Genomic DNA, 27,597 nt, shown 5'->3' with positions numbered 1-27,597 from the left:
TTTCACTTAACTCTTTTCTTCTTTTCTTTCTTTTTTTTTTTTTTTTTTTTTTTGAGACAGTCTTGCTCTGCCACCCAGGCTGGAGTGCAGTGCATGATCATGGCTCACTGCAACCTCCAACTTCCAGGCTCAAGGGATCCTCCTGCCTCAGCCTCTCAAGTAGCTGGGACTACAGGCATGTGCCACCACACTCAGTTAATTTTTAAAAATTTGTCATAGAAATGAGTTCTCACTCTATTACCCAGGCTGGTCTCGAACTCCCGAGCTCAAGCAGTCCTCCTACCTCAGCCTCTCAAAGTGCTGGGATTACAGGCATGAGCCATGGTGCCCAGATTGATTTTTTAATGACGAATTATACTGAGTTATCTTGTGTGATTTCATTAAAAATCAGGGGAAACTGCTGAAAGGGTGTCTTGCTTGATGTAATATGATGGGACCTAGTCATTAGAAATAAGTCAAGAGAGGGGACTAGCATGTGGCAAATGTTCATTGCTTTGTGTGCTATTTTATGCTGATAAACTTTTTTTTTTTAAAGAAGGTATCTTAAGCCAGAGTCAAAGAGCTTAACAATTACTTAGCTAAATTCAAGAAAAACCCACTTTTTCATAGCCACAGTAAAAGCAGACGGATAAGAAGTTTATCCTTCACAATTAGTGCTGATTGTTCCATGGTCTGTGAATTCTTAGCCTTTCAAAGCTCTGTAAGACTTTTATAAATCCCACAGGCCTCCCAGAGGCTTAACTAGCTTTTTGCTACCCTTCCTTTCAAGAATTATACTAATCATTAATTAGTAAGTGATATGATTCTATAATATTAAAGTTTTATAAAAAGTAATTTTGAGGGCATTTGGTGCATTCTGGGGAAAAAAACCAGGCATTAGAATTTGTGCTAGACCATAGCATTAGGTATTTATACATTTGTGTTTATCTTTCAGCCAACTTGGGCATTTTTCTCACTGAACTAGAAATGTCTCTCATTTTCTTTAGCGGTATATGGAGAGGAACCAGTGTTCCTCTTCACCAGTGTTAAGCTCACATATGTTGGAGTACGGTTAGCTAATGACTTTTCTTTGCGAGGTCACAGTTCACAAAATAGAGCCCATGATAAAGTTTGACCTTGGCAGCTTCAGCTGGCCTTTTAAGGACATTTAATGTTACCCTAATTTGCTATTATGTATCTACCTTCCTGCTCCCACTACCCAGTCTTAGAACTGTAACTGAATTGGGCAATTTGTTGATAAAACTAAATATCTTTGTAATTACCAACAAATTCTATCTTTAGGTATTAGGTCCTTAAATGTTGTGCCAACCCTGATGGAAATACCTGTATTTCCTGTAATTCCAGGTTACAGGTATTTAGTTTTTAAAAGCAAATTATCAAGAAAGCAAGTGTAGGCTTGCAGAATCAGAGAAGCTCAAGTTTGGAAGTATACCTCCAGGTCTTCTAATCATTTAGTCCACCTACTGGGTGTCTGTCATAGTACAACTGTCAACCTTCTCGGTGATTCTGTTTTCCTTTAATATGTTGGGGATACTTTCATCTCCCACCTGCCTGTCATTAGAAATGAAGGTTCGTGAACACAAAACATAATGTTGGAAGGTGAAGACAAACCATTCTCCATCCTTTCTGAGTACTGCAGCCTTAAGTTGTATGTACACAAAGGAGGAGAATTTAGATTAAATGTGAACAATACAACTTAGAAGCAGCCAAGATGTACGCATTGTTGGCCAGTATAAGTGTCTTTATGCAGCAGTCCCCAACCTTTTTAACACCAGGAACCAGTTTCAGGGAAGACAATGGAAACATGGAAGGTGGGTGGGCAGGGGCAGGGGTGATGGTTTCAGGATGATTCAAGCACATTATATTTATTGTGCACTTTATTTCTATTATTCTTACATTGAAATAGATAATAAAATAATTATACAACTCACCGTAATTTAGAATCAGTGCGGGCCCTAGCTTGTTTTCCTGTAATTAGATGGTCTCATCTGGGGGTGATAGGAGACAGTGACAGATCATCAGGCATTAGATTCTCATAAGGAGCATGCAGCCCAGATCCTTTGCATGCTCAGTTCACAATAGGGTTTGTGCTCCTAGGAGAATCTCATGCTACCACTGATCTGACAGGAGGCGGAGCTCAGGCAGTAGTGCCAACCATGGGGAGTGGCCATAAATGCAGATGAAGCATTGCTTGCTCCCCACTGTACACCCCCTGCTGTACAGCCCACTTCCTAACAGGCCATGGACTGGTACAATTTTTATGAATATTTTTCTGAAGATAGGTCCCAGAGCTTTCATCAGATTTTTCAAAGTGTCTCAAAAATATAAGGTATCATTGTCTTAAAGAGAGATGTGTTAACCATTGGGATAGATTAGAGAGCAAATCTCTTTCATGACAGATTTTTAAGAATAAGTCATTCAATGGTCTATATATTAGATACAAATTATTCTAGCAATGTTAAATTTCTTTTTTTCTGATCAGCTGACTTTAAGAAAATGTCAGACTTTTTTTGAGTGTGATAACAATGTTGTGGTTATGTAAGAGAACATTCTTATCCATAGGAGACTCATGCAGAAGTATTTAGGATATACTGTTATGATATTTTAATTTTACTCTCAACATTCCAGCAAATAAGTATATATAGGCATCAGTATAGAGAGATTTAGATAAAGCAAATGTTAGGAAATGTGGCAAAATATTAACAATTGGTGAATCTAGGAGAGGGCAGGTGGGTATTGATTGTGCCATTTTAACTTGCTTGTGGATTTTAGAAATTCTTTAAAAGAATTTTTAATTCTTTATTCTTTGGGAACAAAAGAATAAGGCAGTCCATTTATCTGTCTTTTTATTCGTGCCCTCCCCCATTTATCTGCCTTAACTTGGTAATTATAAAGAAGGCAGTTCTATTATATTTTGTAAACGGCTAAAACCAGGCACACACACAAAAAAAGGAAAATCACCAAGGAGCATCCCAAATTACATTTGAGCTATAGCTATAACCAAGGACAGAATTAAAAATAATGCTTCACCTTTTCCCTAATTTTCTCCCCACGTAACTCCCGCCCATCTCATAGGCAGACACATGGTTTGTTCATATAAGTCTACTAAAATCACTATGGTGTCCACCATATCTCTATCTTTTAAGTTCACAGGCAAAATCAATTGCAGCCACCTCCTAGTTGATGTTATGCTTGAACAGTAAAGTGCACACAGTAACAGATGGCATCTTGTGACCTTCTTAATAACAGGCTTGGCTGCCAATGTTCCCTTGTGCCCAGTCTCTGCAGGGAATTTGGAAACTGTTGCCTTACACTTGAATATCTTCCGGCAAACACATTTAACCATTTCTTAGTCTGTTTTCTAATTTAAAATAGAGAGAGGAAAACAAAACAAAATTCCCACCACCTAGAAGGGACATTGATATTTTCTGAGTCCAGAGGCCCATCCCGGGATTCTCTGGGGTGTGCTGGCAGTCACACAGCGTAGCTGTCATGTTTAGTGTGGTGAGGCCCTCAATTCCAGGCAAAGTGTTTATCACTCTACCTAGACATATTGGTGGCCAGTGTGATCTTTTTTTTTTTTTTTTTTGAGACAGAGTCTCACTCTGTCGCCCAGGCTGGAGTGCAGTGGTGCAATCTCAGCTCACTGCAAGCTCCACCTCCCAGGTTCAAGGTATTCTCTGGCCTCAGCCTTCTGAGTAGTTGGAACTATAGGCGCCCACCACCACACCTGGCTAATTTTTGTATTTTTAGTAGAGACGGGGTTTCACCATATTGGCCAGGCTGGTCTCAAACTCCTGACCTTGTGATCCGCCCACCTCAGCCTCCCAAAGTGCTGGAATTACAGGTGTGAGCCACCACACCTGGCCATCTTTTTTCTTCCTGTAGTTTAAAAGAAATGTATTCACTTCTCACAGCAAGGCATACAAATTAGCCAAAAAACAATCTAAGTCATGAAGTTAAAAGGTCCCTCTGCCATGACAGCTCACGCCGTGGTGAGTGAGGCTTGTTTTCAGTCATCTAGTTCCCTTTGTTGCAAACCTTGGGCAGCTGTGGCTATCAAGGTCCATAGAGAAATGGGGAAGGAGGGTGAGAGCAGTGATTAGGTGAGGGAGCAGCCTGCCTGTCTGACCCCTGACCCCTCCACTGTCCCACAGGGGCATCTTTCCTTTGTTGAAAATGGAAGCCAAATAAGGGTGACCCTAGGGGAAAACAATGAAGACAATCACACCAAAGCCCTTCGGAGTCCTTTTCTCCCCTCAGCAGAATGACCTGTAAGGCCTTGTACCAGGAAGGAAGTGCTAAAATCAGTCTCTGCTAGGCAATCAGTGTGGGGAGATGAGTGGAGGAAGAGCAAGAAGAACACTCCCGGGGAATATGTGGTGGGGTAAAAAGTGCAGCACCTCAGCTAGCAACAGCTCAGCCGACAGGTGGAATATTGTGTGGAGTCACTCACAGAAGGAGAGTCTTAATCACAGTAAGACCTAGGGCTCCTTTGGGGGAGTGTAGGTGGGGGGTTTTCACTCCTGGGTATCTCCCCGTATAGCTGAGGAGAAGTGAGAAGTGAGAGTCTTCCTGTTGGCCCCATTTCTGGACTTCAGAACAGAGGAGGCCTTGGAGAGGGAAGTTTCCTCTGCTGGGAAAAGCTGGCCTGGGTGTGAGAAAGCCTTGGCTGGGGAGCTGTGAGTCTCTCCCAGGAAAGCTGGGGGAGGTGCCCATTGCTCCTTTATGTTCGCCTCCCAGGGCCAGTGTAGAGTGCCTTTCTTAGACAGACCAGAAGACCCATGGAAAAAGCCTCCCTCTATTCAGGCATGCCCTAATCCACCTGTTGCCACCTTCATTCTGGGGCCACAACCTCCAGGATCAATAAGCTTTGGAAATGATCCAACCACAGAACAAGGGGGCACACCTCTGAGGCATGATCAAAACAAAACCAACCAAGCTCGGAAGCCACGAGATACTCACATTGCTAAGAAATGGGAGGTCCTTCCCCAGCCTCAGGCCACAACTCCTCCCACAGCCACCAGCAAGTCACCTGCCCTCTCTCCTCTTTTCTTCTCCCCGCAAATCACATTTGCCATCCCTTATTTATATTCCTCAAGCATACGTTTCAGATTTGGGGTTTGCCTGGCTGTATCTCCTTTAGCGCATCACGGAAACTGTGTAGGGGATGGAGAAGAAGTGAATATAACTAAAATCATGTTTGTGTGCAACAGTGCCACGCACTAGTAATTCACTTCATTTTTAAAGTGTTGCAATTCTAGGGGCTCCTACATAGGATTCTAAAGGCTGTCATTGGAAACACAGTTTTTCAAAGGATGCTGCTTTTTTTTTTTTTTTTTTTTGAGACAGAGTCTCACTCTGTTGCCCAGGCTGGAGTGCAGTGGCGCAATCTCTGCCTCCTGGGTTCACGCCATTCTCCTGCCTCAGCCTCCCGAGTAGCTGGGACTATAGGCGCCCGCAACCACGCCTGGCTAATTTTTTGTATTTTTAGTAGAGATGGGGTTTCACAGTGTTAGCCAGGATGGTCTCGATCTCCCGACCTCGTGATCCGCCTGCCTCGGCCTCCCAAAGTGCTGGGATTACAGGTGTGAGCCACCATGCCTGGCCCAAAGGTTGCTTCTATACACTATGTTTTAATTTTTAAAAGTCATGTATAAGTTTCCTTTTGGAAGACAAATTATAAACAAAGACCTGCCCCTATAAAGAAGTAGGTTGTGGGAAGGAAAAGCCAACCATGGAAGGACCATAAAAACCATTGTTCAACAAACAATGACAAACAATCTGCTCTGTGTGATGCCCTGTGCCAAGTGCTGGGAATACAAAGACAAGACAGACAAGTTCCTCCCTCATAAAGCTTATGTTCTAGTAGGAGAAAGAGATAATAAGTAAGTAAACAAATACCATAATACACAGAAAGCAAAGCAGGCATCAAGATAGAGATGAAGACGCTGAGAATGTGAAAAACTTATTTTAAAGGTGGTAGGCAGGAAAGACCTCTCTGAAGAGGTGACATTTAAGTTCAGAATTGAAGGACCTGAAGGATACAGCTCAGCAGAACTGGGATAATTGTGTTCCAGCAAAGATTACAGCACGTGTAAAGGTCCTGAGGTGGGAAATAGCTTAGCAGTTTCAAGTTGCTGAACGAATACATTATAACTGGAACAGGATGAGCAAAGGTGGGAGAAGGTGTGAAATGAGACTGGAAAGATAGGCAAGGTCACATTCGTGCAAGACCTTCCAGGCCATGGTAAAAAATTAGGATTTTGTTGTAAGTGCAACAGGAAACAGAAGTGAGATTATTCTGTTTATGCATTAAGATGTCCCTCTGTGGAGAATAGATTGTGTTGGCAAGACGTGACTTATGGGGTAGTCCAGTGACTTCTTACTGCTTTTTGAAGTCTTTCAAGGCTTGGAAAGGCTTTACAGAAGAATAAAAGTGGGATTGAAAGAGTAGGTGAGAAAGGATGTTAAAAATGGGCACAAATACTCTTGAAATTACATTGCAACTCATATGCATTTTGCCCTCTTAGAATATTACTTGGTTCTTGTCAATATTTTCCTAGGCACTGCCGTCCTTGTTAAATGTCATATCCCATAAAAGCATTTCCAGGTAGCTGATTTGGAGACTTGAAGTTTGCTGCCTGTGTTTAGGAAATATCCCAAGGATATCTCACACGTTTTCATATCTGGACTTTACTGTGGTCATACCACATAACACCTCCTTGTAGTGCATGTTACATCTCCTGGAACAGCAAGAATAAAAGAGACCAGTGCACTCTTTTGCAAGGTTCAGCTGGGCTCTCCCTAGAGCAGTACAGATGTGGGGCACAGATATGGAGCTTAGGACAGAGAAAGGAAAGGGAAAGCCAGTGAGTGTTGGCCCAGCTGTATCATTGTTTGCATTCTACATGCCCTTCATAAAGTTGCTTCTGCTGGACAGAAGTTTAATAAAACATATTAGAATCTGTATTAGCATAGTACAATGGAGAGAAAGTTGAATTAAAATTTTGTTGTATTGCAGCTTTATAATATTGGATTTGTATTAGCCATTGCTTTGTTCTACTTTGAATATAAGAGCTGAGCATATGATATAGAAGGGAATCAGGTCAGAAAAGCTACAACCAAATCAAACCCTTGGAAAGAAAATTAATATTAATGCAAAAGGAAAAGCACTTTAATGTAGGCAGAAATGCAACTGAACTCTTTGAAAGGCAGATGTGAAAAGGAATTTGAGAACCTTTCTCCTATGATGATCATGAATCACACTTAAGAACAGCCCATGCAATTTTTCTATTTATGAATGGATGTTACAAAGGAACAACAAGTTGACCAAAGTCCACTAGTTACAAGCAAATTTATATAATTGGCCTCTACTGACAATTTGATCCTTGGCTTCAAGCAAAATTAATGTTGATAGTCCAAAATTTGACATGGAAATGGAAAAGAAGCACAAGGAGAAATTATCATTTGGGTAAATTAAATAGTTCTGCTTTGATGTATTGTTACCTCTTAATGAAGAGAGGCAACATCAGTTATATGAAAATGACCACTTGCAAAGAATGAAAAAGGCAATATGGGTAAATTGATAAGCAGTCATTATGAGTATATTCACTGATTCCATTTCTACCTTTCGTCCTCCCAGTGCTTTACTATAATAACTGGAGAGGAGATAGGAATGCAAAGTAATACCTGCTGTAGAGTAGCAGATTATTGCTTTCGCTACTCATGTTTCCACCCCTCAAATGCCCCCACCCACCCAACTTCAGGACTGCTCAGCAGGTCTAGCAGGCCACAGGTGATTAGCAAAGTTAATCAGAATTCTGAAGGGCACAAAAAACAATATGAATGTAATAGAATTGTACTTTGTGCTACTCAGATCAGATGTGCTGTCACCTTAACTTACTATGAATGACATGTTCAGGCTGTTTAATTTCCCAAACACAGGCTCAGACTTGTCTTCAAGCTATGTAGTGTGTTTCAATTTTATGTTCTTTACTGCAAAGGGAAGAAAGAAAGTCTCCTGATTTTAACAATAGCACACACGGTTAGCTGTCCTCTCCTCTTGCTTCAACAAACCACAGAGGAACACATAAAACCCTCCTCAGATGTACTATGCTTATAAAGTCAAATTTTACTAGGAAAGCTAACAGAATAGTGATCATCCAAGGCAACCATCAAAAACCTTTATCTCCATTATTTAGGAAAACCCAATAAGGCTGCAGGATAACTTTTTCCACTATGTGCAGCCCCCACCACACACATAGACACATCCCACCACAAATGGGCATTACCTGAATATTTTATAAATTGCTACAAATCCTAATTTGATATTACAATCATTAGTCTTGTTAAACCTTCAAAGATTCAACCCTGAGAGACGGAAATTATATGGAAAATAATCTATTGTGTTCTCTTCTCAAAATCAGTGTGTGGCAGAATGGCCAGCTGTTCCCTTCCATAGTGTGCAGTTGTTGCTAGGAAGTGGCTGCCCAGCCAAGGAATCCATTTCTGAGCTCTCTGGCATCACATTGGAATGTGAGCATAAGTGATGCAAGTCACTTCCAGGCTGAAGTGGAGAAAGAGCACGTGTGTCTCCCCTCCCCTTCACCCCCACCTGCCAGATGGAGACAAAGGGCTCTAGGGCTTTCGGGTATTGGTGGAAGCCCAAGAGGAAGGAAGTCTGTGTCCCAGGTCACCATGAGAAAGGTCTACCTGCAGAACAGCCAACTTTGCCTTTGGATAAAGAAAAAAAAATTTTATTGAGTTAAGCAACTGGAATTTGGAAGTTTATCTATCAACCCCCTAATTAATAGACAATTTTGATAATAGATAATAGATAATTTGGGGGGGTTATCTATAACAATTAGTGTTAACCTAATTTAACTGTAACAGGGTGGAGGTGGCTATAGATTAGTAAATATAGTTTACTAGTTGATAGTTCACAGTTTTGGTTTATCTTCTTAGTTCCTTGGTGTACTCAGTAAAGCTCAGATTATATCACCCAGAGCTCCAAGCTCTGGTGGAAGTTACATTCTGGGAAGTTACATTCTGGGACTAATATGAAAGACAAAAATGTTTGCTTTGGAAGAGCTGTCATTTTTAAGAGCAACTGTTCCAGCATGGAACATGGTCATTTTCCTGCTAAAGACCACCATCCCTTTAGTAGGCAAATGGAAGCCATTGGGGCTACCATCAAGAATCTAAAAGCAGAGGAGAGTGATGTCAGTAAAATGGCAGAATAGGAGTTTTCTACCATCATTTCCCCATGGACGGATTGATTTTGACAACCACCCATGGATGACAGTACTATAGTGGGAGCCTGGGTGGCCAGTGGAAAAATTCCAGCACATTAGTGGGGTAAAAACTCCAAGAATAGATGCATTGAAGAGGGTAAGAAGAACAGTTTCCCTTTACCCGTGACACCTCTCCTGCAAGGTAGCACAACTCAGTGCCAAGAGAGAGCTCCTCAGCCCACGATTCTTCCCACGGGAAGAAGTGAGAGAATAGTGAGTGAGTGCCTGGCTCCTCTAGCTGTGCGAGACACTGCCCAAGAGGCCCACTTGTTTCTCACCCCACAGAAAATACTGAGGTGATTATCAGAGCTGAGTGGTGAGGGAGGCTGCAAACAGGGAAGAGAGGCAAAGACTCACAGCCACCAGGGCTCGGAACTCAACAGAGAGCCATGGATCCCAATTACTGCTTCAGGGAGTCCATCAGAAACCCACCCATGAGCTGCTTGGGATGCCTCACATGCAGACCACCCCAACTGGCCCATGGGTACACCCAATGCCCCACATGCATCACTACCCCTTCCCCTGTAGCCTGTTCTCCATATGTGTCCCTGGAGACAGCAAGTACAAGCCTCTGCAGATGGCATGTGCAGACAGCCCACCCAACTCCATGAGACTGGGAGACAGCACACAAATGTGAGCATTTTAGGGCGCTGCTCTAGGGAAGACAAACAAGAGCCTCTCGGCATCTGGTCTGGCTCTGCAGGATTGACAGAAGCCATCAATCTTAAGAATTCCCTCCAAAGAGGGAGCAAGAGGGGTGGAATGGGCGCATCCATAGAAAAGGCCTGAGAGAGCCATCAAATACCCAGCTGAGCTGACTGGTGAATGTGTTTTTCCCCTGAAGCCAGTCAGTGAAGACTGGAGGATATGACTATATCTCCAAAGGCAAAGCCAGTAACTCAAGACTTTGAGCAATAAGAAAAATCAAGGAAACATGTCACCACCTAAGAAACACTGTATTTTTCCAGTTACCAATCCCCCAAAATGGAGCTCTACAAATTTCCTGACAAATTTAAAATAATTGTTATGAAAAAGCACAGTGAGCCACGAAGAGAACACAGACAACTTAATGAAATCAGAAAAACAGCACATGAACCAAATGAGAAGTTCAACAAACAGAAACAAAAAACAAACGGAATATGTAGGTCAGAAGATAGATAGTGGCAGATATGTAGGAAGAACAAGTCTAGAGATCTAATGAACACGTGAGGATTGTAGGTAATAAAACTGTACTAGATCCTTGATTCATGCTATTAATCAATGAGTAGATTTTAGCTGCTCTTGCCATAAAAAAAGGTAATTATGTGAGATGATGGATATTTAATTTGCTTCATTATGGTAACCTCTTTACTATATATGTACTCTATAGCATCGTATTGTTTACAAGCGTACTTTAGAGACAGTGTGGGTTCAGTTCCAGTCCATTTCAATAAAGAAAACATCACAGTAAAGTGGGTCACATGAACTTTTTGTTTCCTAGTGCACATAGAAGTTATGTTTACCCTATGCTGTAGTCTATTAGGTGTGCAATAGCATTATGTCTAAAAATAAAATGAGCCAGGTGCAGTAGATCACGCCTGTAATCCCAGCACTTTGGGAGGCCAAGGTGGGCAGATTATGTGAGGTCAGGAGTTCAAGACCAGCCTAGCCAACATAGTGAAACTCCGTCTCTACTAAAAATACAAAAATTGGCCAGGCATGGTGGCAGGTGCCTATAATCCCAGCTACTCGGAAGGCTGAGCCAGGAGAATCATTTGAACCCAGGAGGCGGAGTTTGCAGTGAGCCGAGATTGCATCACTGCACTCCAGCCTGGGCAACAGAGTGAGACTCCATCTCAAAAATAAAAACAATAAAATAAAAAAAAATAAAATGGACATACCTTAATTTAAAAATACTTTCAAAGTTGGAATCAATCATCTCAAACCCTCTTGCTGCTCTATCAGTTCAGTTTATGTAATATTATAAATGCTTTGTTGTCATTAAAACAATGTTCATGGCATCTTCACCAGGAGTAGATTCCATTTCAAGGAATCAGTTTCTTCGCTCATCCATAAGAAGAACTCCTCACCTATTAAAGTTGTATTATGAGATTGCAGCAATTCAGTTACATCCTTAGGCTCCACCTCTAATTCTAGTTCTCTTGCTACTTCTATCCCATCTTACACATACTTACTCCACAGAAGTCTTAAACCCCTCAGACTCATCCACAGGGGATGGAATCAACTTCTTCCAAACTCCCGTTAATTTTCATATTTTGACCTCCTTCTATTAATGACAAATATTCTTAATGGCATCTAGACTGGAAAATCCTTTCCATAAGATTTCAACTTACTTTGCTCAGATTCATTAAAGGAATCATTATCTATGGTGTCCATAGCCTTATGAAACATATTTCTTCAATAATAAAACTTGAAAGTCGAAATTACTCCCTAATCCATAGGCTACAGAATGGATGTTGTGTTAGCAGGCATGGAACCAACATTAAACTCCTTGTACATCTCCGTCAGAGTTCTTGAGTGACCAGGTGCATTGTCAGTCGGCAGTAATATTTTGAAAGGAATCTTTTTTTCCAAGTGGTAAGTCTCAATAGTGGGCTTAAATATTCAGGAAGTCATGCCATAAACAGATGTGCTGTCATTCGGGCTTTGTTGTCCCATTGATACAGCACAGGTAGACTGGATTTAGCATAATTCTTATGGGCCCTAGGACTTTCAAAATAGTAAATAGCTTTGGCTTCAACTTAAAGTCACCAGCTGCATTATCCCCTAACAAGAGAGTCAGCCTATCCTTTGAAGTTTTGAAGCCAAGCTTTGATTTCTTCTCTCTAGCTATGAAAGTTCTAGATGGCATCTTCTTCCAACAGAAGACTGTTTTGTCTACATGGAAAATATATTGTTTAGTACAGCCACCTTCATTAATTACCTTAGCTATGTCTTCTGGATAGCTTGTTGCAGCTTCTACCTCAGCACTTGCTGCTTCACCTTGCACTTTTATGTAATGGAGATTGCTTCTTTCTTTACATGAACCAACAACAACTGCTAGCTTCAAATTTTTCTTCTGCACCTTCTTTGACTCTCTCATTCTTCCTAGAATTGAAGAGAGTTAGGGCCTTTCTCTGGATTAGGCTTTGGCTTAAGAAAATGTTGTGGCTGCTTTGATCTTTTATTCAGACAACTAAAACTTTCTCCATATTAGCAATAAGGCTGTTTTGCTTTCTTATCATTTGTGCGTTCACTGGAGTAGCACCTTTAATTTCCTTCAAGAACTTTTTCTTTGTATTCACAACTTGGCTAAATGTTTGGTGCAAGAAGCTGAGCTTTTCATCTGTCTTGGCTTTCAATATGCCCTCCTTACTAAGCTAAACTGTTCTAGCTTTTAATTTAAAGTAAGAAATATGTGATTCTTCCTTTCACTCAAACCATTAGAGGCCATTGTAGGGTTATTAATTGGCCTAATTTCAATATTGTTGTGTCTTAGGGAAGTGGGGGGCCCAAGGGGAGGAGAGAAATGGGGAAATGGCTGGTTGGCAAAACAGTCAAAGTTTATCAATTAAGTTTGCTGTTCTATATGAGTGTGGTTTGTGGTGTCTCAAAACAATTACAATAATAACATCAAACATCACTAATTGCAGATTACCATAACAGACACAATAATAATGAAAATTTTAAAATATTGTGAGAATTATCAAAATGTGACACAGAGACAAGAAGTGAATACATACTGTTGGAAAAATGGCAGCAATAGATTTGCTTGATGCAAGGTTGCCACACACTTTCAATTTGTGAGAAAAAGGCAATTATCTGTGAAGCACAATAGAGCAAAATGCAATAAAACAAGGTGTTTCTGTACCTTAAGCAAGCACAATAAAATTTATTAAAAAAAATTCTGGAGCTGAATAATGCAATAAATGAAATAAAAAATGCAACGGAGAGCATCAACAGCTAACTTGATCAAGCAAAAGAAAGAATCTGTGTACTCAAAGCAGATCATTTGAAACTACCCAATCAGAGGAGAAAGAAGAAAAAAATGAATGAAAAGAAATGAGGAAAGGCTATGGGATTTGGGGAACACTATCAAGATAACTAATATACAGACTATGATAGTACCAGAAGGAAAAGAGAAAGAAAGTACCAGAAGGGAGAAAGAAGTGGAAAACTTATTTAAAGAACAAAAACTCCCCAAACCTGGAGAGAGATACGGACAGCCAGGTACATGAAGATAAAAAATTCCCAAACAGATTCAACCCAAAGGTGACTTTTCCATTGTTAGGCGAGCTGTTAGAGCCCCAGCAATGGAAAGTGGTCAGCTTGCAGGTAGCAGGGTAGTAAGAATAATTTACCAACAACAGTATAGGTTTGAAAAGTAGTTTTATTAGAACACTGGAGAAGAGTGCAGTGGGGCACCTCAACAAAAGAGGACTGAGTGCATTGTGGTGAATTTTTCCTTAGGGGTATTTATGGACCTTAAAGCAGAAGCTTTAAGGGCAATTTGGACCATATTAGCCATGTAGGTTATAATAAATGATTACATTTGTAGACATTTTGGTGCCTTGATGTCAGCAAGGGTTGCACAATGAGTTTTGATATGCATGCATTCTGGAGATGTATAAAAATTCTAGTTACTTATAAATTCGGGGGAAAGAAGACTGGTACCAGATGCCAGCTTTAGATAATAGGAAAATCTAATTACTTCTAAATTCCTCAGATAAGTTTTGCCTCTGGATGGTCACCAAGTGATCTTTGCTTTCTTCAACCATGACACATTAAATCAAACTGTCACAGTAGGTAGCTAGTCAGACATGAGCAGAACAGGAGAGGGCTCCCTACCCCCACCCCACACCCCCCACCACACATACACACCAGGAATGTCAGGCAACCATCAGAGAGACAGGCTTAACTGTCTCTCTAAAATAATAATTGGCTGCAACCAATGCCGGGGAAAGACAGTCTCTCAATAAACCAAAACACCTGAAACTGGTAATCAGCAGCTTCCTGATAAGATTTCAGGAGATGGGTAAGTGGGCTCAAGTGTGCACATTAAGAGGCAAAATGGCAGAGTTTAACTGGTATATGACCTTCTAGGGACATTTGACTGGTAAGGGAAGGATGCCTCAAGTGAGCATGTGTACAATCCAGTACACACACTGTGCATGCTCCCCTCCCAAGCATTAGCAGGCCACTGCACATGCAGACAGCCCACCCTAAGGGAAGAATCAGGAGAGAAGGAACACAATACCCCAGAAGCAGGCCAACATATAAAACCCCAAGTCAAAATGTCAAGCTGCACATCAGATCTTTCAAGTCACCTGTTGGCCCTCTTCCAAGTGTACTTTACCTCTTTTCATTCCTGCTCTAAAGCTTTTTAACAAACTTTCACTACTCCTCTAAAACTTGCCTCTGTTTCTCCTTCTGCCTTAAACCCCTGAGTTGAATTCTTTCTTTTGAGAAGGCAAGAGTTGAGACTGCTGCAGATCTGTATGGATTCGCTGCTGGTAACATACTTTGGTGCCATGACTCAAATACATTCTGCTGTTAACATACTTTGGTGCTGTGACTCAGGTACGTTCCACTGCTAACATATTTTGGTGTTGCATGACTCAGATATGATCCCTTGTGGTAAGAGACTTCTACATCTTGCCTTCTTCAGCTGGAGACATTCAACCTCTGTGCATGGTTTATTCGCCCCTTTTACTCTCCTGCTTACTAACCAACCCCCAGAATGATTCCTCTCAGCTGCAAGTGGCTCTGCTCCTCTTGGCTGATCTCTCAGCTCACCCTGGCAGGTAGCTTGTAGGGGTGGGAAAGACCTTCGGGCCCACATCAAGTAGAACTGAGACACTAATGGCCCTCCTAAATAGGGAGCTCATGAGAATGGTGGGACTAAAGCCTAAACCCATGCAATGCTTGGGGTTTCTTCTGCTTTTTCAACTAAAATTACCTGTTTCCCCAAAAAACTGATGCTGCCTATTCTCCTGTTTTCTCTGTGTGTTTTCTGAAATGGCCTTGCACACCTGCCAGACTGTCTGCCTCAGGGGCAAGTCCACCTCTTTGTTTTCACTTTTGCATGCCACGTGACTTCTTAAACACATACTCCCTGTAATTCATGTTCCTGCAGCTCTTGCTGCATTGGCATGGCAACAAAGACATGGGCTTCCTTGCAGGTATCCCCTGAGATTTATACTTGTTTTTACCCTACCAACTTGGATGACTTCCAACCCTTTCCCTGTCTCTTGGCACATTGTGGGGACAGACATTAATTGGAACCCTGGCTCTGCCAGCAACTTATGACTTGTCATATGCTTTTTGTTCCTGTTATGCTCTAGGGGTAAGTTTTTCAGTGGCTTTGGAAGCAGGTTTTTCACCTGCATAGGGCCTCACTCTGTGGCCCTTTAAAAGCCTCACATACTTGCTTTTTTTTGAGTTAGAACCCCTCGGGAAGGAGGCAAAGTTCTTCCTTTGCCATTTGTGAGTTCTTACTCCAAGCCCCAAGTTCTCTGGAGGTTACTACTTTATGTCAAGAGGGCAAATAAACCTTTCCCTCTAGAATCCAAGGGTTGCTGTTTTTGTGAGCATATGAAGGCTTCCCATGAGTATTCTTCTCACATCCTCCCACTTCTTCCTGTAGCCTCCATTACTCTAATCACTTCCATGCCCTTCTCAACATGCATCAAGAACTTCAAGGTCATATTCAAAGGAAGGGAAGTCCAGCCCCCTTGAGGCAGTTAGCTGACAAGCAGGCCTCTTTTTACTTAAAAAACATGGAAAATGGGAATCTGAGAAAAGATAATGATTTTGTTGCTAAAATGCTCCAAGTGAGAGTCACTATGAGTTCATGGAGACAAGGATATATACAGGCCAGCCCAAGGCCGTAGGCACAATAGACCCATAGCACAGAGACAAAGCTTGGTCCCAGACTAACAGATTACCATTAGAAAAGTGATGAAGGCAAGGTTAGGGGTATATGGTAAGACTGGTTCATTCTGGAACCCCAAGGATAAACAAGGAGCCCACTGTTCACTCCAGTATCTCCTCTGTTCCCAAGTGCATAATTGTGATGAGATGGGACCAAGGTGAAGGGTACATGGGAAGACCAGTTCATTCTGGAACCCTAAGGATGAATAGGGGATGCCCCATATAGGATAACAGGAAAGTAAGAGGGGACACCTCGTTTTTACTTTTTTCTCCTCTGTCCTCTCTTCACAGACAGGTAATCTTGTCTCGATACCACAGGACATGCCCCTTGGATGTATCTCCCCAAACGGAAAGATCTCCCCAAACCTTAAAACAAGAAACTACTTTTCCTTTGTAATACTATTTGGCTTAAAAATGAAAGGGGAGGAAATTACAAAAGTCAGCCTTGGAACCTAGTGCCACTGTGCAGGAGGTCCTCAGATTAACCTCTTCAGTCTTTCATAACTAAGAGCAGAATAAGGAGGACAGGGCTAAGGAAAAGGAGAAACAAAGGGAAAGGAGGTGAGCTCAACTATTGGCTGCTCTGCGAGCCCACTAGCCCCCTCCAGGTTGCCCTAAGGACACTTCTCCAGGTAACTACCATTGGTGCAGGAAGCCAGGGCACTGGAAGGCACTGCCCCAATGGGATAAAAGCTATGTCCATGGCTTGCCCCTTCTGCCAGAAAGTCGGCCACTGGAAATGAGACTGCTTCAAGGGCCAAACCACCCCTGGGACAGAATCCCAACTCCTGATGGCCTTGAGCTGAAGGGGCTGTCTGCTCTGACTGGCTTCCAAATCAGACACTGTCATCAACAGGACAAACTTGAGGGCAACTCTGGAGGTGGCAAGTAAACTTATAAATTTCCCTTTTGGGTTCAGGAGCTGCCTACTCTGTGCTAATCTCCTTCTCTGAGCAACCTTCCTCCAAATCCTGTCAGGTAATGGGGGAAATGGCACCCCCTCCCTCCAAAAGAAAAAATTCACATCCCTTTATATTACTTAAGGGACCAGTCCCTGGTGATGTCTAAATACCCAACACCTCTTTAGGGCAAAAATATATTTTCCATGATGGGTGTGTGCTTAATATTTACCTGACCTCTGAATTCATCTTTCTAATAGCTCTATTTCTCCTAGGAAAGCTACCTAAATCTTTAACCAATAACTTCATCTTGGACCGTCCTACCCAGTGGTATAGAAATAGCCCACACTTATTTGGACAAGCACTAGCAAAAATCTAACTGAGCAATCTCTTGGGGTGGGATAACTTCTCCAGTACAGTATGTAAATAACCTTCTCATTTGTTCACCCTTTACAGAACTTGCAAAGCAACATGCAGTACAAATCTTAACTTTCTAATGGAAGGAAAATGATTTTTGTTGAATTCAAAGGTTCTAAAGGCACGGAAGGTTATAAAGAAGAGATTTTATATAAAAAAGTATCTTATATGGGCCTGGCGCGGTGGCTCACGCCTGTAATCCCAACACTTTGGGAGGCCGAGGCGGGTGGATCACGAGGTCAGGGGATCGAGACCATCCTGGCTAACACAGTGAAACTCCGTCTCTACTAAAAAATAAAAAAAATTGGCTCATGCCTGGTGGCCCAGCACTTTGGGAGGCCGAGGTGGGCCGGATCACCTGAGGTCAGGAGTTCAAGAGCAGCCTGCCCAATATGGTGAAACCCCGTCTCTATTAAAAATCCAAAAATAAATTAGCCGGGCGTGGTCGTGGGCACCTGTAATCCCAGCTACTCAAGAGGCTGAGGCAGGAGAATCGCTTGAACCCGGGAGGTGGAGGTTGCAGTGAGCCAAGATCCCACCACTGCACTCTAGCCTGGGCGACAAGAGGGAAACTCTGTCTCAAAAAAAAAAAAAAAAAAAATTAGCCGGGCATGGTGGTGGGAACCTTGTAGTCCCAGCTACTGGGGAGGCTGAGGCAGAAGAATGGCATGAACTGAGGAGGCGGAACTTGCAGTGAGCCAAGATTGCGCCACTGCACTCCAGGCTGGGCGACAGAGCGAGACTCTGTCCCAAAAAAAAAAGAATCTGTTTTCTTTTGTAACAGGACACAATTGGAGAAACTGGTTATTTTACCAAGGCTTTGACTGGAATGGCATGCTTTTCTTTAAGGAATCAAAATGGAATTATGAAGCCAATAAAAGCTCCTTCGGAAAACTGCCCTCATACCTTGGCTACACAGTCCCTGTATGGGGTTCCTGGCCTGTGGTGAGTAAAGAATATCACTTTATAACAGGTCTAGAAGCCCCAAGTTATCTTGAGACCACAAGAGGAGAGAAATTTACCATGTCATACAGGTATTTGATGGTGCCAACCTAAGGCTTTAAAAAAGTCTTACCTGAAATTCCTTATGGAACACAGTTTCATTAAAGCCAATTTTAAAAGGAGTCTATATGGTACATAATTATTCTCACAGTGCTTTATGCAAATAACCACGCCAAGTATAATAAGACTAAAGCTTATATTGTGAACAAGTCAGTTCTATCATGATTTGTCTTTAATAAAACTGAGGACCGGAGAGAAAAAAAATCTGTTTCAAAAACTATGGTACACCTATTATTAGATTCTAGTCTCATGAGTTTTTGAGTTTTTGTCTGCAATTTAGACTAACCCTGCTTATTCCTGTGAACCAACCAGTGATCTCTGGCTGCAGCTCAGAAGAAATAAGACGGATGGGTAATGTAAAAATCTGGATCAATATTCTAATTCTGGGCACATATTGGAATCAGCTAGCAACCCCATGCACCCAAGTCTTAGCAGGCATAACTATAGCCACCAGCTACCTGAGCATAATGGCAGTCTCAGAATTTTTTGGAGCTATCATCACCCCCTTATTTTGGCTTGGCATTCTTCTAATTCTAATAATCCTATCTGTTTCCTCTCACCTTCAGGCCATCAAGCTCCAGATGATCATCAGTGAGGGATACTGTCCTCTCAATATTCAAGAGCCACCCATCTACAAAGGACCCCTAGACTGCTCATCACTGGGACACGACAGAGGCAAAATCCTGTCCCTGTCTCTCTTGGACATGGTTGGATACGGCTTTCACCAACTCATGGAATCAGCTCTGCCATGACAGCTAGTAAGAGGCCAAGACCTGCAGAACAATCACTACCACCCCTCCCTGTCAGCAGGAATCAGTTACAGAAGACTGACCTTCATCCATTTTCCCCAAAGAATTGGGGTACTGGACTCTTGAGGGGGAAAATGTTACAGTAGGTAGCTAGTCAGGCATAAGCAGGGCAGGAGACGGCCTAGCTTCCAATCTCACCACACATACAGACCAGGAATGTCAGGCAACCATCAGGTTATGGTCAGGTGATTGCTAACTGTCTCTTTAAAATAATAATTGGTCACAGCCAATGCCAGGGAAAGGCAGTCTCCCAATAAATAGAAACACCTGAAACTGGTGATCAGCAGCGTCCTGATAAGATCTCAGGAGTTTGATGAATGGGCTCAAGCTTGCACATTAAGAGGCAAAATTGTGGAATTTAACTAGTATATGGCCTTCCAGAGACATTTGACTGGTAAGGGAAGAATGCCTCAAATGAGCATGTATACAACTCCAGTAAACACACTGTGCATGCTCTCCTCTCAAGTGTTAGCAGGCCACTGCAAGTGCAGACAGCCCACCCAAGGGAAGAAACAGGGGAGAAGGGATGCAAGGCCTTGGAAGCATGCTAACGTATGAACCCTAAGCCAAAGGTCAAACTGCGCACTTGATCTCTCAAGTTGCCTGCTTTAGCCTCTTCCAAGGTAATCTCTCAAGTCACCTGCTTCACCCTCTTCCAAGTGTGCTTTACCTTCTCTCATTCCTGCTCTAAAGCTTTTCAATACACTTTCACTCCTGCTCTGAAACTTGCCTTGGTCTCTCCTTCTGCTTATGCCCTTCAGTCAAATTCTTTCTTCTGAGGAGGCAAGAGTTGCGATTGCTGCAGACCTGTATGGATTTGCCACCAGTAACAAAACTTTCAAAAATCAAAGACAGAGAATTTTGAAAGCAGCAAGAAAAAACATTTGTCCTAATTTCAAATTATATTAGAAAACTGTAGCAATCAAAGGAGCATGGCACTGGCATAAAAACAGACACACAGACCAATGAAAAAGAATAGAGAACCCAGAAATAAACCCACGCATATACAGTTAGCTAATCTTCAACAAAAGCACCAAGAATACACAATAGGGAAAGAATAGTGAAGGAAATTAAAATATTTTATCCAAAAATATATTTCTTTGACATATTTTTAAATGGCTGCTACTTGGCCAGCAGACAGAAGTGGCCTTGTGAAGCTATTCTAAGTGGGGGAAATTTGCATCTGTAGAGAATCTTCATTAATGAAGCCATATCCCCTCCCATTTCTATGCCTTCTCCCAGATCCAGGAGAGGTTGAGAGTCTGACACCTTTATTGTTTATTTATTTAAAACTTTTTCCTCCAATACTGACAGATGAACTGACACCTTTAAAAATCTGAAAAGAAACATTTACCATCTATTCTCTCTGAGGGAGGCTTCATCTACATAAAAAAGCCACCTTTGCCAGCCAAGACTCCTCATTTCTCTCTCTCTAAACCTGCCTTGCCACTAAGCCTGATTTACCTGTTTCTGGACATGCTCTGAGTCTGCATTCTTTACTGTGGCCTCAGGATAATATACACGTTTCCGTAACTCATTGGGAAGTTGGGCTTTTATTCTGAAGGCTCCCGTGGATGCATGTTAAATAAATTTTTATGCCTTTTCTTTTATTAATCACTCTGCCTCACATCAGTGATTTTTACCAAAGCTTTAGAGAGCCAAGAGCCTATGGCTCCCACAGCAGTCTCGTCTATAATTAGGCTGAGAAAACTGGATATCGACATATAAAAGAAAGAAATTGTACTCCTATCTTACACTATACACAAAAATCAACTCAAAATAGATTAAAGAGTTAAACATAAGACCTGAAAACAAGAAACTCCTAGACAACATAGGGAGAAAGCTTTCTGACATTGGTCTTGGTAGTGAATTTTAGATATAACATCAATAGCAAAGTTTACTAAAGCAAAAATAAACAAATGGAACTACATCAAACAAAAACTTTCTACACAGGAAAGGAAACTATCAACGAAGTGAAAAGAAAACTGACAGAATAAGGGGAAATATTTGCAAACCATATCTCAGATAAGGAGTTTCATGCGCGTCCGTGTGAAGAGACCACCAAACAGGTTTTGTGTGAGCAATAAAGCTTTTAATCACCTGGGTACAGGTGGGCTGAGTCCGAAAAGAGAGTCAGTGAAGGGAGTTAAGGGTGGGGCCGTTTTATAGGATTTGGGTAGGTAAAGGAAAATTACAGTCAAAGGGGGTTTGTTCTCTGGCGGGCAGGAGTGGGGGTCGCAAGGTGCTCAGTGGGGGTGCTTTTGAGCCAGGATGAGCCAGGAAAAGGACTTTCACAAGGTAATGTCATCAGTTAAGGCAAGGACCGGCCATTTACACTTGTTTTGTGGTGGAATGTCATCAGTTAAGGTGGGGCAGGGCATATTCACTTCTTTTGTGATTCTTCAGTTACTTCAGGCCATCTGGGCATATATGTGCAAGTCACAGGGGATGTGATGGCTTGGCTTGGGCTCAGAGGCCTGACATTCCTGCCTTCTTATATTAATAAGAAAAATAAAACAAAATAGTGTTGAAGTGTTGGGGTGGCGAAAATTTTGGGGGGGTGGTATGGAGAGAGAATGGGCGATGTTTCTCAGGGCTGCTTCAAGCGGGATTAGGGGCGGCGTGGGAACCTAGAGTGGGAGAGATTAAGCTGAAGGGAGGTCTTGTGGTAAGGGGTGATATTGTGGGGATGTTAGAAGAAACATTTGTCATATAGAATGATTGGTGATGGCCTGGATACGGCTTTGGATGAATTGAGAAACTATATGGAATAAGAGGAGAAAAACAGGTATAAAAGGTCTAAGAATTGGGAGGACCTAGGACATCTGATTAGAGAGTGCCTAAGGAGATTCAGCATAGTTCTGCCAGCAAAGATTATTTATTTACTTCAAGAGTTTAGAGTGGCAGTTTGGGGATAGCACCAGGCGATATCAGCTGTGATGGCTTGGAGAAACAGTGTAAACCGGCAGTGTAAACAAGAGCAGGGCATGTATGAGTAGTTGAGAACGGTGAATAGGAGTATGACTAACAGATGAGGATGAAATTTGGGCTTGACTGAAGTAATGGGGGCTGTCTGTGAAGCCTTGCGGCAGTACAGCCCAGGTAATTTGCTGAGCCTAATGGGTGTCAGGGTCAGTCTAAGTGAAGGCAAAGAGAGGCTGGGATGAAGGGTGCAAAGGAATAGTAAAGAAAGCATGTTTGAGATCCAGAACAGAATAATGGGTAGTAGAGGGAGGTATTGAGGATAGGAGAGTATGTGGGTTTGGCACCACGGGGTGGATAGGCAAAACAATTTGGTTGATAAGGCGCAGATTCTGAACTAACTTGTAAGCCTTGTCTGGTTTTAGGACAGGTAAAATGGGGGAATGGTAAGGAGAGTTTATAGGTTTTAGAAGCCTATGCTGTAGCAGGCGAGTGATAACAGGCTTTAATCCTTTTAAAGCGTGCTGTGGGATGGGATATTGGCGTTGAGTGGGGTATGGGTGATTAGGTTTTAATGGGATGGTAATGGGCATGTGATTGGTTGCCAGGGAAGGAGTAGAGATGTCCTATACTTGTGGGTTAAGGTGGGGGGATATGAGAGGAAGACGCGAAGGAGGCTTTGGGTTGGGGAGAAGGGTAGCAATGAGATGCGGCTGTAGTCCAGGAATAGTCAGGGAAGCAGATAATTTGGTTAAAATATCTCGGCCTAATAATGGAACTGGGCAGGTGGGGATAACTAAAAAAGAGTGCATAAAAGAGTGTTGTCCAAGTTGGCACCAGAGTTGGGGAGTTTTTAGAGGTTTAGAAGCCTGGCTGTCAATAACTACAACAGTTATGGAGGCAAGGGAAACAGGCCCTTGAAAAGAAGGTAATGTGGAGTGGGTAGCCTCCGTATTGATTAAGAAGGGGACGGACTTACCTTCCACTGTGAGAGTTACCCGAAGCTCGGCATCCGTGATGGTCTAGGGGGCTTCTGAGGCGATCGGGCAGCATCAGTCTTCAGCCGCTAAGCCAAGGAGTCAGTCAGAGAGCCTTGGGCCAGAGTTCCAGGGGCTCTGGGAGTGGCTGCCAGGTGAGTTGAACAGTCCAATTTCCAGTGGGGTCCCCGCACAGATGGGACACGGCTTAGGAGGAATCCTGGGCTGCAGGCATTCCTTGGCCTGGTGGTCAGATTTCTGGCACTTGTAGCAAGCTCCTGGGGGAGGAGGTTCTGGAGGAACGCCTGGGCACTTCGGTTTAGGCGTTTGGAAGTTCTTGTGTGCTGGAGATGTGGCTGGGGTTTGTCTCACAGTGGAGGCAAGGAATTGCCACTTTTTTTTTTATTATTGTACACCTTGAAGGTGAGGTTAAGTCCTGTTGCGGGGTTTGAGGGCCAGATTCTAATTTTTGGAGTTTAATGTTGGGAGCAGATTGGGTAATAAAATGTATATTGAGAATAAGATGGCCTTTTGACCTTTTAGGGTCTAGGGCTGTAAAGCGTCTCAGGGTTGCTGCTGAACGAGCCATGAACTGGGCTGGGTTTTTATATCTGATGAAAAAGAGCCTAAACCCTTCTGATTTGGGGTAAAGAAAAAGGAGCATTAACCTCGACTATGCCTTTGGCTCCAGCCACCTTTTTAAGAGTAAATTGCTGGGCAGGTGGGGGAGGGCTAGTCATGGAATTAAACCGTAAGCTGGACCAGGTGTGAGGAGGGGAGGCGATAAAAAGATTACAGGGTGGAGGAGTGGAGGCTGAGGAAGAATTGGGACCTAGCTTGGCCTGGCGAGGAGGGGAGAGGTCAGATGGGTCTGTAGAAAAGGAAGATTAGAAAGACTCAGCGACGCTTGGGGTTGGGACTGAGGGGACAGGCGGGAAGGAAGGAAGATTTGGGATGAGTTGCACTGGGCACAGAGACTAGGAAGGGACTGATGTGTAAAATAATGCCTGGACGTCAGGCACCTCAGACCATTTGCCTATTTTACGACAAGAATTATTCAGATCTTGTAGGATGGAAAAATTGAAAGTGCCATTTTCCGGCTATTTGGAACTACTGTTGAGTTTGTACTGGGGTCAAACGGCATTGCAGAAGAAAATAAGACACTTAGATTTTAGGTCAGGTGAGAGTTGAAGAGGTTTTAAGTTCTTAAGAACACAGGCTAAGGGAGAAGAAGGAGGAATGGAGGGTGGAAGGTTGCCCATAGTGAAGGAGGCAAACCTAGAGAAAAGAGAGTGTAGAGACACGGAGGGAAGGGATTTGGGGGTTCTTACCCTCCAGAAAAGCAGGGAGGGGGGTCAGGGCACGGAAATAAGGGATTGGGGCACAGAGATAAGAGGTTGGGGTGTGGAAATAAGGGATTGGGGCACAGAGATAAGAGGTTGGGGTGCAGAAATAAGGGATTGGGGCATAGAGATAAGAGGTTGGGGCATGGAAATAAGGGATTGGGGCACAGAGATAAGAGGTTGGGGTGCGGAAATAAGGGATTGGGGCATAGAGATAAGAGGTTGGGGCATGGAAATAAGGGATTGGGGCACAGAGATAAGAGGTCGGGGTGCAGAAATAAGGGATTGGGGGTTCTTGCCCCATAGAAAAGAGGGACTTGCCACCAAGGGTGAAGGAGAAGGTGTTGAGGGGTGCTTGCCCCTCCCCCAGAAAAGCGGGACTTGCCGCTAAGGGTGAAGGAGAAGGGGTTGAGGGGTACTTGCCCCTCCCCCAGAAAAGCAGAGAAGGGGTAGAGACAAGGAGAGAAGGGGTTGGGGTACTTGCCCTTTCCCCACAAAAGCAGAGAAGGGGTAGAGACAAGGAGAGAAGGTGTTGGCGTACTTGCCCCTTCCCCAGAAAAGCGGGACTTGCCACTAAGGGTGAAGGACCAAGGCAGGCTTCCCTGCGTGGTCTGACACTCTTGAAACGTGGGTAGATAATCAGAGAGGCATCCCTGCAATGATTAAACACCAAGGGAAGGCTGCCTTCCCAGTCCGTGACCGGCGCCAGAGTTTTGGGTCCACGGATAAAACATGTCTCCTTTGTCTCTACCAGAAAATGAAAGGAATTGAAATTAAGAGAAGGGAGAGACTGCAGTGTGGCGCCAAGATTGAAAGGAGAAAGAGGTTGACGGATAGTGAGGGAGGTTGGAGAAGACAGTAAAAAGAGGCCGCTTACCGGATTTGAAATTGGTGAGATGTTTCTTGGGCTGGTCGGTCTGAGGACCTGAGGTCGTAGGTGGATCTTTCTCACAGAGCAAAGAGCAGGAGGACAGGGGATTGATCTCCCAAGGGAGGTCCCTGATCCAAGTCACGGCACCAAATTTCTTGCGCATCCGTGTGAAGAGACCACCAAACAGGCTTTGTGTGAGCAATAAAGCTTTTAATCACCTGGGTGCAGGTGGGCTGAGTCTGAAAAGAGAGTCAGCGAAGGGAGATAAGGGTGGGGCCATTTTATATGATTTGGGTGGGTAAAGGAAAATTACAGTCAAAGGGGGTTTGTTCTCTGGCGGGCAGGAGTGGGGGTTGCAAGGTGCTCAATGGGGGTGCTATTTGAGCCAGAATGAGCCAGGAAAAGGACTTTCACAAGGTAATGTCATCAGTTAAGGCAAGGACCGGCCATTTACACTTCTTTTTGTGGTGGAATGTCATCAGTTAAGGTGGGGCTGGGCATATTCACTTCTTTTGTGATTCTTCAGTTACTTCAGGCCATCTGGGCGTATATGTGCAAGTCACAGGGGATGCGATGGCTTGGCTTGGGCTCAGAGGCCTGACAAGGAGTTAATATCCAAAATATATAATGAACTTGTAAACCAAAAATAAAATTCTAAGCTCCCCCAACTGACTGGTGGAGCTTCCCCTTGGCCAAGGGCATTTTCAAATTATCCTGAAAAACTAGTTCAGGGCATGATGGGAAGTGGGGGTCAGACATGCCTCACAAACATCAACAGAGAGACCTTAAGACTGATAGAACAGACTCTTTAAATCTGATAAGAAACACAGTCTATTCTCTCTGAAACCTACCTGTAGGCTTCATTTGTATCATAAAACCTTGGTCTCCACATCCCTTTATCAAAACCCAGACATTCCTTTCTGTTCTACTCCAGGTCTTTAGATAAAATCCCTTTCAACCAATTGCTAATCAGAAAATCTTTAAATCTGCCTCTGACCTGGTAGCACATGCTTTGAGTTGTCCTGCCTTTCTGGATTGAACCAATGTACATCTTACATGTATTGATTGATGTCTCATGTCTCCCTAACATGTATAAAACCAAGCTCTACCCTAACCTTGGGCATATGTTGTCAGGACTTCCAGAGGCTGTTCACAGATGTGTCCTTCACCTTGGCAAAATAGACTTTCTAAATTGATTGAGACCTGTCTCAGATACTTTTGGTGTACAAACCCATATAACTAAATAGCAGAAAAAAAACTGATTTAAAAATGGGAAATGACTTGAAGAGACATTTTTCCAAATAACACATACACATGGCCAACAAGTATATAACAAGGTTCTCAACCTCACTAATTTCAGGGAAATGCAAATCAAAACCACAACCAGGTATTACTTCTACCTGTTAGAATGGCTATTATCAAAAAGTTAAAAAATAAGTGTTATCAAAGATGTGTGAAAAGGAAACCCTTATCCACTATTGATGGGAATGTTAATTGGGAGGTTCCTGAAAAAAATTAAAAATAGAATTACTATATGATCCAACAATCCTACTGATACATATCCAAAGGAAATAAAATCACGACCTCGAAGAGCTACCTGCACTCCCATGTTCATTACAGCATTATTCACAAGAGTCAAGATCTAGAAACAACTTACGTGTCCATCAATAATGAATGGATAAAGAGAATGTGGTATATAATACAATGGAAAATTATTCAGCCTTAAAGAGAAGGACATCTTGGTTTATGTGACAACATGGATGCACCTGGAGGACTTTATGCTAAGTGAAATTACTCAGCCACAGAAAGACAAAAACTGCATAATTTCACTCATATGTGTAATCTAAAAAGTCAAAGTTATAGAAGCATAGTAGAACAGTGGTTACCTGGAGGTGTGAGGTAAGATAAATGGGGAATTTTTGGTCAAAGAGTACAAACTTTCAGTTATAAGATGAATATGTATGGAGACCTTATGTACAGTATGGTAACTATGGTTAATTAAAATGTATACTTAAAATTTGCTAAGAGAGCCAGGCATGGTGGCTTACGCTTGTAATCCCAGAACTCCGGGAGGCCAAGTTGGGCAGAT

The 27,597-nt window shown here is 42.8% G+C and overlaps 1 protein-coding gene across 14 annotated transcripts in view, besides 6 other annotated features; it reads right to left on the bottom strand.

Annotated features, from left to right (window-relative positions):
- C4orf51 (chromosome 4 open reading frame 51) overlaps positions 1-27,597 on the bottom strand; it is a 112,298-nt gene that overhangs the window by 67,510 nt on the left and 17,191 nt on the right. Inside the window, exon 3 of one of the 14 annotated variants that reach the window (XM_024454188.2) lies at positions 25,712-25,747. The exons of 12 other annotated variants lie outside the window; for them this stretch is intronic. In XM_024454188.2, the coding sequence (XP_024309956.1) occupies positions 25,719-25,747 (29 nt within the window). In that variant the 3' untranslated portion in view covers positions 25,712-25,718. Of the gene's footprint in view, positions 1-25,711; positions 25,748-26,071; positions 26,106-27,597 lie in introns of those variants that run through there. One more of the 14 variants, XM_024454190.2, reaches the window with a different exon arrangement.
- Positions 3,934-3,983: an enhancer, noted in NCBI's record as "active region_21966". NCBI's record gives its function as "activates an Ori minimal core promoter by ATAC-STARR-seq in GM12878 lymphoblastoid cells {active_cell/tissue: GM12878}" and the evidence as "EXISTENCE:reporter gene assay evidence [ECO:0000049][PMID:35858748]".
- Positions 4,624-4,823: an enhancer, noted in NCBI's record as "active region_21965". NCBI's record gives its function as "activates an Ori minimal core promoter by ATAC-STARR-seq in GM12878 lymphoblastoid cells {active_cell/tissue: GM12878}" and the evidence as "EXISTENCE:reporter gene assay evidence [ECO:0000049][PMID:35858748]".
- Positions 20,455-21,040: an enhancer, noted in NCBI's record as "NANOG hESC enhancer chr4:146625046-146625631 (GRCh37/hg19 assembly coordinates)". NCBI's record gives its function as "activates a minimal SCP1, AML or CMV promoter by ChIP-STARR-seq in naive H9 embryonic stem cells {active_cell/tissue: H9 hESC(naive)}" and the evidence as "EXISTENCE:reporter gene assay evidence [ECO:0000049][PMID:30033119]".
- Positions 21,303-21,992: an enhancer, noted in NCBI's record as "OCT4-NANOG-H3K27ac hESC enhancer chr4:146624094-146624783 (GRCh37/hg19 assembly coordinates)". NCBI's record gives its function as "activates a minimal SCP1, AML or CMV promoter by ChIP-STARR-seq in primed H9 embryonic stem cells {active_cell/tissue: H9 hESC(primed)}" and the evidence as "EXISTENCE:reporter gene assay evidence [ECO:0000049][PMID:30033119]".
- Positions 24,497-25,423: an enhancer, noted in NCBI's record as "H3K27ac hESC enhancer chr4:146620663-146621589 (GRCh37/hg19 assembly coordinates)". NCBI's record gives its function as "activates a minimal SCP1, AML or CMV promoter by ChIP-STARR-seq in naive H9 embryonic stem cells {active_cell/tissue: H9 hESC(naive)}" and the evidence as "EXISTENCE:reporter gene assay evidence [ECO:0000049][PMID:30033119]".
- Positions 25,424-26,351: an enhancer, noted in NCBI's record as "NANOG-H3K27ac hESC enhancer chr4:146619735-146620662 (GRCh37/hg19 assembly coordinates)". NCBI's record gives its function as "activates a minimal SCP1, AML or CMV promoter by ChIP-STARR-seq in naive H9 embryonic stem cells {active_cell/tissue: H9 hESC(naive)}" and the evidence as "EXISTENCE:reporter gene assay evidence [ECO:0000049][PMID:30033119]".

The sequence above is a fragment of the Homo sapiens genome, chromosome 4 (assembly GCF_000001405.40).
Source record: "Homo sapiens chromosome 4, GRCh38.p14 Primary Assembly".
Lineage (NCBI taxonomy): Eukaryota > Metazoa > Chordata > Mammalia > Primates > Hominidae > Homo > Homo sapiens.
Note: the sequence above shows the minus strand (reverse complement) of the source record. Positions and strands in the feature narration are given on the sequence as shown.